The sequence below is a fragment of the Homo sapiens genome, chromosome 11 (genome assembly GCF_000001405.40).
Source record: "Homo sapiens chromosome 11, GRCh38.p14 Primary Assembly".
In the NCBI taxonomy this organism is placed as follows: domain Eukaryota; kingdom Metazoa; phylum Chordata; class Mammalia; order Primates; family Hominidae; genus Homo; species Homo sapiens.
Window position 1 is genome coordinate 26,534,215 of NC_000011.10, and position 14,852 is coordinate 26,549,066.

At 35.4% G+C, this 14,852-nt stretch overlaps 1 protein-coding gene across 6 annotated transcripts in view; it reads left to right on the forward strand.

Moving 5' to 3' along the window:
• The window catches only part of ANO3 (anoctamin 3), a 474,482-nt gene that overhangs the window by 345,407 nt on the left and 114,223 nt on the right, over positions 1-14,852 (forward strand). For all 6 annotated transcript variants that reach the window (NM_001313726.2, NM_031418.4, XM_047427399.1 and 3 more), the window contains 4 exons: positions 242-348; positions 3,192-3,247; positions 7,733-7,854; positions 13,202-13,336. In NM_001313726.2, coding sequence (NP_001300655.1) covers positions 242-348; positions 3,192-3,247; positions 7,733-7,854; positions 13,202-13,336 — 420 coding nt within the window. The remainder of the gene's footprint in view (positions 1-241; positions 349-3,191; positions 3,248-7,732; positions 7,855-13,201; positions 13,337-14,852) is intronic.

The window sequence follows — 14,852 nt, forward strand, 5'->3', positions numbered from 1 at the left end:
CTTGTTCCATGTGAAATAAGAAATAGGAACACTTATAAACTGAAAGAAGATAACAAAGTGAACATTTGATAATGCCTTGTATTATTTATGAATTCTTTTTCTCTGTCAATTTTTTTTTAAAGAGGATGATTTCCCTTCTGATTTACTATGCTTCATATGCATTAGCTTTAATGGAACTTGTAACTATTGCTGGATTCTGTGTTCTGCTTTGAATATTAAACCAATCCCCTCATCTTAACAGCTTCATAATAAATAATAAAGACACCTTCTTCAGCAATGCTACTCGAAGCAGAATAGTCTATCACATGCTGGAACGCACCAAATATGAAAATGGAATATCAAAAGTGGGTAAGAACATTAATTAATAACAGAGTAGAACTTGCTGTTACTATTTATACCCAGAATTATTGTTTTTTTTAACAGCTGTAGCTTTGCTTTAATTCATTAAATAGATGTGTATAACATATTGAACACACACTCTATAAGCATTCCATTTTTCAGCCTTTTAATAAAACAAAAAAAACTTTTTTGAGGGTATTTGGTCATAGATATCAAAACGTGAAATGTGAAAACACTTTGAAACAGAAATATTATTTCTTGAAATTTATCCCCCTCAAATAATCAGACTTTTGAGTGACAAAATATGCAGAAATTTGCTCATCATGGGCTTGTTTGTAATAGAATTACCTGGAAATACCTTACGTGTCCATGCTTAGGGACTGAAAAATAAGTTAGGCTGTGTCCATGTAGTACATTCATTAAAAGTTATGTTTCATTTATTTACTCTTATTTTAACATAAAAATTTCAAGCATCTGTTTTACAAAGTATATGACATAAGCCCTATACTCAGGGAGATTGTAAATTGGTTATGAGTTCGTTATTTATCAACTCCAAAAGATATCCACAAACTATATGTCTCATGTAATTTCATTTCTTAAACCCACATACATAAAAAGACAAAAACTCTAGAAGAATATGTAAGAAACTTTTTAGAGGTTACCTCTGGAAGGTGAAATAATAGTTAATTTTAATTTTCTAAATTTCTTTGTTGTTTAAATGTTTAGCAGTATGCTACAACATGTATAATACAAAATAAACTTGAGAATGTTTCACCTAGAAAAAGTAAATAAAATTGCAGAATTTACATAGAGCTGAGCAGAAAGCAATAGGTAACAAACAAGATATACTTTTAATTATAGGGGTGACGAAATGCTTGAAGGGATCAAATGTTAGTCATATCCTAAAAGCCTTGAAAATAAAAAGTTGACAGCCAGCAAAAACTGGTACCAATCTCTACTGATTTTATTAAAATTGAGTGCTATATAGGTAAAATACACTATGTTTCAAGACAGCCACTTTTTTTTTTTTTTTTTTTTTTTTTTTTTCAGATGGAGTCTTGCTCTGTCGCCCAGGCTGGAGTGCAGTGGCACGATCTCAATTCACTGCAAGCTCTGCCTCCCGGGTTCACACCATTCTCCTGCCTCAGCCTCCCGAGTGGCTGGAACTACAGGCACCCTCCACCACGCCCGGCTAATTTTTTGTATTTTTTAGTAGACACGGGGTTTCACTGTGTTAGCCAGGACAGTGTCAATCTCCTGACCTGGTGATCTGCCCGCCTCAGCCTCCCAAAGTGCTGGGATTACAGGTGTGAGCCACTGTGCCCGGCTGATAGCCACTTTTTAAAGAAAAACCTTCAGACTGTTGTTCTTCTAATTAATAATTTATTTATTACTGAGCATTCAAAACAGTTAACTCACATACCTAAACTTCACCAAAAATAAAGAAATAAATTTAGTAAGTAATTTTTAAGGAACTAAAAATAAGCTGGGTGCGGTGGCTCAAGCCTGTAATCCCAGCACTTTGGGAGGCCAAGGTGGCTCGATCACCTGAGATCAGGGGTTCAAGACCAGCCTGGCCAACATGGTAAAACCCGTCTTTACTAAAAATACAAAAATTAGCCAGGCACAATGGTGGGTGACTGTAATTCCAGCTACTAGAGAGGCTGAGGCAAGAGAATCACTTGAACCCGGGAAGTGAAGGTTGCAGTGAGCCGAGATCATGCCACTGCACTCCAGCCTGGGTGGCAGAGTTAGACTCTGTCTCAAAAAAAAAAAAAAAGAAAGAAACTGAAAATAATGAAATCCAGAATATAAATTGAAAATGTGTCTAAATGTTAGTACTATATTGTTTTGTAGTCTTTTGAAATAATTATGACATTATAAATAATTATAAGGGTATCATTCCCTTTGTAGTAAATACAGAAGAATTAAAATTATTCCTAACTGCAATTCTCACTTATACATTTTTAAGTTTATATATATGTATATAAATTTATGTGTGTGTACATATAAATTAGACGTACATATAAATTAGATGTCTTAGCGTTTATAATTTTCAGGTTTTTAAAAAATTACCATTATGAATATTTTCTCAAGCCCTTAATTACTCTTCGAAAACATTATTATAAATAGCTGTACAATATTCCATAATAAAATTCATCAAATCACTATTATTTACTATGTACCTATTATAATTGATTGTGCTATAAAAATTAAATGATTTATCAGTTTTGGATATGTAATTATTTCTAATTCTTTACTGATATAAATAATATTGCAACAACAGTTGCTCACTCAGTATCTGTTCTTACCAGGAGTATATGAGAGTGTCCATTTCACTCTACCCTCATTGAGAGGGAGGAGATTTTAATAAGTGTCTCATATTGCTATTTATGTCTTTTTTTGTTTGGTATTATACAGTTAAGTATTTCTCAATACCAATATCCTTTAAATTTTTTTTTTTTTTTTTGGTAGGGGACGGGGACTGGGTGGGATATAGAATTTGTCTTCTTTCTTGACCAACTTTGTTATTTGGAGAAAAACAAAAAGTTGCTTCTGGGTCACATGATCCTAACTAAATGGGTTAAATGCCCAATATTTTATGATATGGTAAAGTAAAATCATGTGGCAACTTGCAAATCTTCATTTGCTAATATCATAAGGACATAACTAGATGCAGTATCAGGTTTCTTTCACAATCTCACTGTCCTCATAGGTGATGTGGCTATGGAAGTCATTTGGGTTATCTTAAACTTTTTAATCGATTCATTGTTCCCCGTATATTTCTGTTGCTTCAGAGGAAATGTTTCATTGAAACTAACTCAATAACTGTCCTTTTCTTCTCTTTGCAGGTATCCGTAAACTTATAAACAATGGCTCATACATAGCAGCGTTTCCACCACATGAGGTAATTTTGAAATACAGTTTCCGCTTTATAAACAAGGTTTTCATGCTCAATGCTTGGTCCTGTTGTTTGCATTTGAATCTAGCTGTCCACTCCCAGGAGGATTCAGTCTGCAAGTAGCCATGGGCCTTCTGTCTCCCCATTGTAATTTTGTGGCTGTGCACTGGCTCCTCTGCCTCAAAGCCTGTCTTCAATTTGCCCCATACTGGGAATCCCAGCCTTAGCGAGAACACTCCTGGACACTGTAGCTGCTGCCTTCTGCTCCAGTACAGAGCTCCAAGCTTGATCCAACTTGAGATCAGCACCATTCCAAATAGAGGAGATTCCTGGTTTGTGCCTACTACTTTGGGATACTTGAAAATCTAAAGTCCACCACAAAAACCTATAGCCAATTACCTCCTCAATTATTTGTCAGATTATTACCTCCCTACAGGTTTTAAATAGAAATGCCTGCTCTAAGCTGCAGTGGGCCTTGTCCACTGTAAATGATATTTGAGCCAACTTTTATTCCCTGACCTCTTTCTTTAAGGCAATTTCACATTTTAAGGTAAGAATGGGGTCTTTACAGGTTTCACTTCTGAACTTTCAAAGACTATCACACTTCTATTTATAAATTTATGACTGAGGACTCACAGTACATAATACAAGGCTGAGGAATTTGCAGTCTGGTACGACCAATAGTAGATAAAATGTATTGAGTACTTGCTATTGGCAGTGACGTAAATGTTTTATATGGATTGTCTCATTTAATCCTTGCAACAACCCTTTGAGATATACAATAACATTAACTCTGTTTTGTATATAGGTAACTGAGGTACAGAAAGGTTAGATATCAAAGGCGCAGTTTTGAGCACCGGAAGCCAATCTCCAATGTTTATATTCATTATGGTATACATACTTATAGTAAGAATAGAAATAATAACAGGAAATATGTTTGTGTATTTAATGTACCAGGCCTTGTGCATGTATTTTCCCGTTATTCTGAACATAACCCTGGAGGGGTAAATCTTATTATTCTTATTTTACAGCTGAAGAAACAAAGCTCAGAGAAATTAAACACTGTATCAGATAGCACATAATAAATGGTAAAGTGTTCAGAATGGCAAACTTAAGGCCCAAGGAGAACCTCTGTAGCAAAGGAAGGTTTAATTTGTTCTCTGTCTAGGTAATTTTCTCTACATAATTAGGCTGAGTTCTGAAAGTTCATTTGACAGGTTTTTTACGTGAAATTTGGGACTTATTATAAATAAGTTATAAGTATCATCTTCCCACATGTGCTTGTAATTTGGATGAAATATTAATATATGCAATAAATACATGAAAAGAACACAAAACAATGTTGTTGAAATACAAGAAAGTAAATTAGAAGGTCAATAAAATGGGCTCAGGAATTTTCTGTTGATTTTAAATGCTGCTACTTGAGGTAAGAAAAATAAGGCTTATTAGGAGGAAAGTGGAGTCAATGGCTTTGACTCTGATTTGATTAAGGATAGTTCACAATTCTAGGCTTCCTTTTTCCTTTTCCTTAATGCAGGAGACAAGTGCCAATCTCTTATTTTTACCAGTGGTCGAGGTTTGTTTTTTACTTACAAAAAGGACAGTGGCTAGAGGGAAGAAGAAGAAATGTCTTGTGGAGTTTGGTGTGAAAAGGAAAAATAAAGGGAACAAGAGAAATACACACACACACACACACACACACACACACACACACACACAAGAGTTTGTCCAAGATATTGATAGAATTTATAATCCTATCAATTATGAATAGTGGAAAGAGAGGAAATGTGTGTAGGTCAGAGGAGGCCAGTCATGGGGATGGCAGGGACCACTGAGTGTACGTAATACTTCAGAAAGGCATGAAAGTACATGAGTGAGCAAGAATAATCACTTCGGTCCGTTTTCTCTTGCAGCCCATTGCATGTCACTATCAGGCCAGAATGATGTAGCTGATTGAGATTATAGAGCAGAGTTAAAAAAAGATACCCTAAATATTCTAAAGTTTAGCATATGAAGCCCAAAAAGCCTTTTAATCTTTGGGCTTTAAACACCTTGAGCTAGTTTGGGAAGACAATTTTGGGCCTGCACTTAAATGGTACCTCCTTTCTTCCCTAATAAATGTATCTATTTCATTAGGGAGCCAGGAGTGGCATCCACATGTCTCTCATGGCAACCTTGAGGCACCTGTGAGCCATGACTCAAGGTGTCTTCTTTCCTTATGGGAGCTCACCGTCCTGGTTGTCAAGGAATATTCTGATGAGCTTTGCACTTTTCAAGAGCCACAATATATCAAATGCGTAAAATACCTAACTCACATTAATTGCATACTTTCCATGTGCCAGGCACTTTATAGGTATTATCTAAGTTGACTCTCGTAAAACCCCTCTATACTGGGTATTATTATTATTACTTCTGTCATCTAGGTGAGAAAACTGAGACATAACTCCACTTGCTTTAAATTTTTGTCAAACTTTCATAAAGATAGAGCCATACATTGGAGTGAGGAGAAAGACTTTGTCATGTCTTGTATCTCACATTTTGGTTCAGAAAATATATAGTCACCGCATATATTGTCCTCTTTTTAGATAATAAAAGCAGAGAAGTTCAGCCTTTAGGGAACACTCTGCTCTATAAGGCATATCATATAATCTGCACTTCCAAAATGGCAACCCATATGACAGATTTTTGAAAGAGGATATACAGAATTGAAAAAAAAATCCTTCAATTTTTTGAATATCTTATCTGAAATAAATTTTAAAGATACTACCATGTTAAAAATCTGACTAGCCAGCTTCATTCCTGGGATGCAAGGCTGGTTCAACATATGCAAATCCATAAACATAATCCATCATATAAACAGAACCAATGACAAAAACCACATGACTATCTCAATAGATGCAGAAAAGTCCTTCGATAAAATTCAACACCCCGTCATGCTAAAAACTCTCAATAAACTAGGTATTGATGAAGCATGGCAACAAAAGCCAAAATTGACAAATGGGATCTAATTAAACTAAAGAGCTTCTTCACAGCAAAAGAAACTATCATCAGAGTGAACAGGAAACCTACAGAATGAGAGAAAAATTTTGCAATCTATTGATCTGGGCTAATATCCAGAATCTGCAAGGAACTTAAACAAATTTACAAGAAAAAAAATAACCCCATCAAAAAGTGGGCAAAGATATGAACAGACACTTCTCAAAAGAAGACATTTATGGGGCCAACAAAGATATGAAAAAAAGCTTATCACCACTGGTCGTTAGAGAAATGCAAATCAAAACCACAATGAGATACCATCTTATGCTAGTTAGAATGGCTATCATTAAAAAGTCAGGAAACAACAGAGGCTGGAGAGGATGTGGAGAAATAGGAAGGCCTTTACATTGTTGGTGGGAGTGTAAATTAGTTCAACCATTGTGGAAGACAGAGTAGCGATCCTTCAAGGATCTAGAACCAGAAATACCATTTGACCCAGCAATCCTATTACTGGGTATATACCCAAAGGATTATAAATCATTCTACTATGAAGGCACATGCACACGTATGTTTATTGCAGCAATATTCACAATAGCAAAGACTTGGAACCAATCCAAATGCCCATCAATGATAGACTGGATAAAGAAAATGTGACACATATACACCATGGAATACTATGCAGCCATAAAAAAGATGAGTTCGTGTTCTTTGCAGGGACATGGATGAAGCTGGAAACCATCATTCTCAGCAAACTAACACAGGAACGGAAAACGAAACACCCCATGTTCTCACTCATAACTGGGAGTTGAACAATGAGAATACGTGGACACAGGGAGGGGAACATCACACAATGGGGCCAGTTCGCGGGTGGGGAGGTAGGGGAGGGATAGCATTAGGAGAAATACCTAATGCAGATGACAGATTGCAGGGTGCAGCAAACTACCATGGCACATGTATACCTATGTAACAAACTTGCACGTTCTGCACATGTATCCCAGAACATAAATTATAATAAAAAAAGAGAGAAGAAAATCTGACTAGCACTGGTGGCTGAGGCCTCTTATATTTTTTGAATGAACACTTACTCTCTTCCTTAGCTTATAAAAATGGAAGAAACCTTTCCTGGAACTGCATCACTTCTTATACAAAATAATGCCCTGAAATTCTGAACTAAAGATTATCACAATTTCTCTCAATGATGGTGAAGATATTGTGTTTATTAAAAGACCTTAAATTCCAAACAGTGAAGCCTAGAGTCTACTTTACTTTAAGCTAAATGGGTTCCATTGTATTTTTTAAGTAATTTAATAAAAGATTTTTAATAACTATCGGACTATTTTTAATGAAAGATATGTAAAGGCATCCATCACATCATTCCAGCGATGGGCTTAAGTTTATCATTTTTGAAGCTTTCAATAAGTTGTTAAATTATTCTGCAAGGGAAAATACAGTTCTTACTCAGTTAAAATTTCACTAAAAAATAGAACCAAATGTATCTTACTTTATCTGTTGCAGGGAGCCTACAAAAGTAGCCAGCCCATTAAAACCCATGGACCTCAGAATAACAGACATCTATTATATGAGCGCTGGGCACGCTGGGGAATGTGGTATAAGCATCAGCCTCTGGATTTAATCAGGTACTGCAAATGGAACAATAATGAAAAGCAAAGTATTCTGTTTTGTGTCATTGTCTTAGACTTGGAATTATTTATTGTGCTCACCAGTGAGGATGCAGTCTACAAAAAAGCAACCACTATAAGATTTTTCAGTAAAAGAATCTCACTGTAGGTAATTGGTTATACAGGGGATGGGAGAGCTGAGAAATCAAACAGGCTTTGCAAGGTGTCTAAGGGATGAGCAACAGCAAAAAATTACTAACACCCCTTAAGGGTGGAGAGAAATTGGAATAAAAACATATTACCAGAGCCCAATACTTATGTACCATTGCTAGGGCTTCCAGCAGAGAGGTGAAAGTGAGGGGGAGGATGGAGCCATGGAGAGGGCATAGAGAGGGAAAATGGTCCTGGCTTATCTCTTCCTTCTACCTTTGAGTGGTCTAGTACCTCCTGGCTCAACTTAACCAGAAGTAATTTAGAGTAAAACCTGACTAAAATGTCCAAACCGAAAAAAAGAAAGAAAGAAAGAAAAAAAGCCAGAAAGTGGATCTAAGAGCAAACAGAAAAATGACTAACACATGTTTCACATGTTTGTATATATTTACTGTTCAACAAAGATCTACTCTACTTCAGGATGCATATTCTAGTAACTGCCTTCAACTTGAACTAGTCTTGAAATATTGTTGTATTCACGATTTATATCATTTATTTTGATGGAGGATAACTTGTTTTTTATTTTTAGAGATCATGAAATCTGTATTAACAAGGACTTAAGTCTTTAGTTAACTATATTTATAGAATGAAAGAAAAAGACCATTTATATTAATATATGTTAATATTTTAAGCTGTTTATGAAATATAAACATCAAGAATAAATCACAGCTGAATCAGTCAGTGCCCCCAGTGTAAAACGGATGGACACTGAAAGGGGTACTTGTAGAGAATTTAATAAAAGAACTATATACAGAAGCATAAGCCAGGGTCAAGGGAGACAGTGACGGATGAGGAAGCTCCCAGGGACCAGCACAGCTGGAAGTTGCTATCAAACCTAGATCTTGAAGGGGCAGGGGGAGAAAGCATTCGGCAGAACCTGTCAAAATCTATACCATAAAAAGGATGGGTCATCTGAAACAAGCTATGACCTTAGGAAGAAGACAGCCACGGCCAAACCATGGCCCAAGAAAGAGGAAGCAAGGGTAATAAACCCCATCTGTTTTATATTGCCCTCTGATCTCCTGCTGGCACATTCAGTGGTTCAACAAACCCATCAGGAAGCCAGAAGAAAATGGGAGGGAACAAAGCTTATAGAGTCCATAGAGGTAGACCTCCTAGTGCCTATAATGAAAGGAAAAAAGTAGAATGTGGATCTGGAGACACAGAGGGTAAACATCCACCACCAAACGCTTTTAATTTCTTTTTTTTTAATTATATTTTAAGTTCTAGGGTACATGTGCACAACGTGCAGGTTTGTTACATATGTATACATGTGCCATATTGGTGTGCTACACCTGCTAACTCGTTATTTACATTAGGTATATCTCCTGATGCTATCCCTCCTCCCTCCCGCCACACCACGACAGGCCCCAGTGTGTGATGTTCACCACCCTGTGTCCAAGTGTTCTCATTGTTCAGTTACCACCTATGAGTGAGAACATGTGGTGTTTGGTTTTCTGTCCTTGAGATAGTTTGCTCAGAATGATGGTTTCCAGCTTCATCCATGTCACTACAAAGGACATGAACTCATCCTTTTTTATGGCTGCATAGTATTCCATGGTGTATATGTGCCACATTTTCTTAATCCAGTCTATCATTGATGGACCTTTGGATTGGTTCCAAGTCTTTGCTATTGTGAATAGTGTCACAATAAACATACGCTTTTAATTTCAAACATTAAGTGTTTTGGTATGTTCAGAACCAAGATGTTTTATTTCTTAGTCTGATGATCACAAGAAATGATCAGATTTTATTTTATGCAGATGGGAGAATTATTTTAGATATTATGAACATAGTGAAATGTGCTGGTTCACCAAGCTATATCTATTAGGAATTAAAATGAAGTTAGGATTTGCGAGCACACATTTTAGTGTCAATAGTTACATTTACTTAGCTTATTTCACTAAAGTTAATGTCCTCCAGTCTTATCCATGTTGTTGCAAATGACAGGATCTTCTCCTTTTTTAAGGTTAAGTAGTATTTCATTATACATATATATATATATATATATATACACACATACACACACACACACACATATGTATATAAACCATATTTTCTTTACCTGTAAGCCAAGGTAATACAAATGCTACATAATCTCCTGTATGGGTAGAATCTAAAAAGGTTGAACTCATAGAAGCAGAGGGTAGAATAGTAGTTACCGAAGGCTAGGGGTGGAGAGGAGGCAGAGGTTGGGGAGAAGTTGGTCAAAGGATACAAAAATTGGTTTAAATAGGAGGAATAAGTTCAAGAGATCTATTGTACCACATGGTGACTATAGTTAATAATAATGTATTTTATGCTTGAAAATTGCTGAGTACATTTTAAATGTTCTTACCATAAAATAAGAATAAATATGTGAGGTAATGCATATGTTAATTAACTTCATTTAGTCATTCAAAGCTATATGCATATTTCAAAACATCACACATGCAATAAATATGTACAATTTTTGTTGACAAAAAATAAACAGAAAGTATAAGTTCTCATCTATAGAAGACATTACTCTTGCTTCTTCAGGTAATTCCAGCAAGCAGCCTTTATTTTCAGTAAATAGGTTTATTCAGCTACTATTACCACTTCTTTGGCTGATGACATAGGAGGATTTTTTTTCTTAAAAAATTATATTTTTACCTTTAAGTGGCTAAGAGAAGGAGTCTGTGATGAAATACTCACCCAAGAGAAAGTTTATGAAAGAGTATAGATGGCATTTGAACATGTTTTTACCCCTTAGGAACTTAACTTGTATTACCAAAATTTAGATGGTAATGAGACAAACATGGATGTTAAACTATTTATGCATAGCATTTTCTACAAGCCCCATTTTTCTACAACCAGAAGAAAGATTGTCTTAAAATTTGTAACTACTTATTTTGAGTAAGTTGTTCTTAAAACCACACACTTTTCAGGACATGCATCTCTTATTGTGTTGCTTCCTATCTGTAGTGAGAGAAAGAGGGTGTTCAGAGTTGAATTTCCTTATACTCTTTGGTTATGGATAATGGAGACCCATAGGCACAGCCTGTATTGTCTCATGCTGAATAAAGTAGTTCCTTAGTAGTGGATGGAAAGTCAGATACAGGCAATTCCTTTTGTATATAAATAACCATTTCTGGACATGTGTCTGTGGTTTTTCCCATTTTAAAAATAAATTTAAACATTTTGTAGCTAAGGCCTATTTTAGTTGCAATCTGTTTTTCCATGAAAAATATTTGAAACTAAAAAGAGCACACATTCAAAATCATCAGCTATAAAACTTGCTTAGCAAAATTCTTGTATGGCAATTTAAAAAATTACACAATAGGTATTGGAGACATTTGTATTTGAAAACAATGTCACTGAAGGAAACAATTCTAAAAGCATAGATTTCCACATGGTTTCATTGTATGATAGAAATTATTTCAGCAGCAGAATTATATCATTGAATGAAATATGACACAAGGCACAAATATTAAAAAAAAAAAAAACAGATAAAAACAGAGCTGTGGTTGATGTGTGATGGGGAGTTACCCAGTAGCAGCCCCCTCTTCCTCCCTCTTCCTCCTTGCTCTATTTGGAACACAGGAATCATAGAAGATTGTGAGTACCAGTGCTCTAAGGCAAGGACATTTTTCATTAGCCTCTTTTACATGGCACCAGCTCCTTCTTCTCCTGACACAGATCTGAAATCTACTTTTACTTAGGTGACTATACTTCGCCAAATAATATTGTTGCTTCTCTTAACCTTCAACAATGTGTAATTTAAAATATCATTATCTATATCATACTGATATAGATAATACTGTCTATATCAGCTGATTTGTCTGTGCAACCCTCTGTCACCAAAATCATAAAGGTCCTCTACTGTGTTAGTAACATGTGCTAAAAACTTTGCTCCACCCCACAGAGGAACACTTGTTCAAACAAACAAATGTTTTTTTTTCAATACCTATTAATATAATAAGTTTCCATCTCACAGTAGAATACTATTATTGTATGAGAAATGAATGTTCTATTGATCTGGGTTTCCTAGGAGAGAGAGATAAATAAAATGAAAAAATTGGAGAAGTGATGCTTGACAGATGATTATTCCAGGTCTGCACCCAGTAGAATATGCAAAAGATTTAATTGGCACAACACAGAGAATGAAGCAGAAAGAGAATAGTTTTCAGAGAAGAGAAGGCTTGTTAAGGAAATATGACAAGAGAATCTTCTTCTTATCAAGAATCACTGCTCAGTGCAATATGCCCAAACGAACTTTAAAGTGCCCATCTTTATTGCAGGAACAAAACTGTGTGTGTTAAGTAACCGTCTTTAGAAGATGGAGACCAAACAGTGGTAAAGAAGTCAGGAAATTATCATTTTTAACCAGGCCTTTAATACCGGCAGTAGGTTAGGTGAAGAAAGCGCAACTGAGTAGTTATTCGAGCTGCCTTATTTCTCTGCCATTTCAATTTAAATGATATTCATCAACTAGAGGGGAATTAAACGCATTAACTCTCTTAGCATCCTTCGATACTTCCTGCGATGGGTACTAGTGAAGCAACACACAGCTCTACCTTTTAGCAGCTTACAATCGTATAGGGAGGAAAAGGAATGGAAGAATGACTGGTAATTACCATACATTTTTGTAAGTTTAGGGACAGCGTTAACCAGGGTAAGTGCCATGTGCTTTGGAAACTGCAGAGTTGAGCTTTGTTGAGGAAGATGTGACATAATGGTGCACATTGTGTCTAGCATAAGGGTGTCTGGTGAAGGGTGCAGATGGAGAGGGAAATCTAACTAACCTGCTCTCAGCACCCACCCAGAGGGGAGACCTTTTCTTAATTTTCATGAAAGCTATATGGTTTAGAGCAGCTCTGTGATGTGAAAAAATGAAAAGGGATGCTAGTAGGAAGATGGAGAAAAGCCAGGTTTATGAGCATGTTAAGAAGTATGGCATATACCTAAATACATGTGACAGAATTGCCCCATATTGAAAATGTTTAAAAATAAACAACATTACCATCATTGGATTAATTAACAAGCAGGAGTATTAGATACTTTAGATGGAGCTGAGGAGGAACTGAGTGTAGCTTCAAGTTACCATCTGAAATTCTGACTAGGTGTGGCATCAATATTTGTAATATTGCTTATGTTGCCTTAACTCAGTCTAAGGATTTGCTTTCTCATGCAGGCTATACTTTGGTGAGAAGATTGGACTATACTTTGCTTGGCTGGGATGGTATACTGGAATGTTGATTCCTGCAGCAATTGTTGGTTTGTGCGTTTTCTTCTATGGATTATTTACAATGAATAATAGTCAAGTAAGGTAGGCTATTAAGAGACCTATTAAAAATATTTGGCTTGTCTTCTGAATGGGCAAAAGTTTAATGATAATGCTGACTATAAAAAATCAAATGGTTGATGATACTACAATTTAATTTATTTGCTATTTCTGTTTTTTGGCTTTTGTTTTTGGTAGGAAGAGAACACAATTATAAAAGGTCATTTTAATACTTTTATTTGCAAACTATCTTGAGTAATTTCTAAGAATGTTTATGTAAAATTCCTCTTTCCAGTATATACCATATAATTCAAAAATTTGATAGCTTTGTGTGATTTACATTTGCATAGCATTTGTTAGTCTAGAATGCCCTCTTGATATATTCATTCAAATCATTATAAAAGCTATAATTTATAATTTACAAAGTCCTTCCAAATACCTTGTTTCATTTGCTATAACCTTCACTACCACCCTGGGAGATGCATAGCTCTTTTTGCACATGAGGGAACCTAATATACTTAAAGATGTCTAAATAAAACAATTATACCACATAAGTCCTGCTCTAAGCAACCTCCTCTACTCTCCTGAGTACGTGACAAAACGTAACATACTTTCTACCCTATTATTACTCTCTGGAGGAACAAATATTTATAAATTTTACTTAGCATCCACTTAAGATATGGAATGGTAGTGAAATCGGATTTGACAAAAGTCAAACATATATCAAAATGGTGATGCTTCTGTTAAAGTTGAAGTGACTTGAGATTTGGAAATAGGAACAGCACATTGTTATTCAGCAAGGACAAGAGTCACCCTAGCATTAAATAATCTTAACAGCATGTTCTATTTAATATATCACGAGTATATTATCAACTTTGACTTTGTATGGTAAAATTAAAAATATGAAAAATATCTCTCCCCTTTCTTTCAAAGCTCAATGCTTTCTTCTCTTTTGGTCCATTTTTTAACCATGGCCTTGCTACTGAATACTGAACATGACAGTTAATGCTAAGGTTATATGCTTCATGAGATCATAACAATTAATTTCCCTGAATTTTCTTTAACAAATATAATATGTATATGTATGTATAAGTATAACAATTATGCTTAAAAACAAAACAGCTTTATTGTCCTAGAATTAAATCCTATTCAATAACCAAGTTGCTTGATTTGATATCTCAAAGTCCCCTTGTTCTTCATGAATGCCAAAAGATAGATAGCATGAAAACAAAGAAACACCTACTGCAAAAACCCATTTCATCTAGTCTTGGGTTTATTTCAGAGTTTTGCAAACTCACTACCATCCTGCAAGGTAGCATCTTCCTGAACAAACTTCGGCCCACCGGAAACATCCATCCTCCTTTTCGGCATTTCCCCGTATTCTGTTGTATCAGTAACATCCGGGGCTCAGAAGAAAGGTTGTGGTTTAGAGTTACAATGAATTGGAAAAAAAAAAAAAACACTTTTAAGATAAATTTTAAAATATGGGAAATGATTCTTCAACAGCTACTCTTCAAGTTGGTCCCGTGGAGAACATATTAACAAAATGTTAGCATATGAT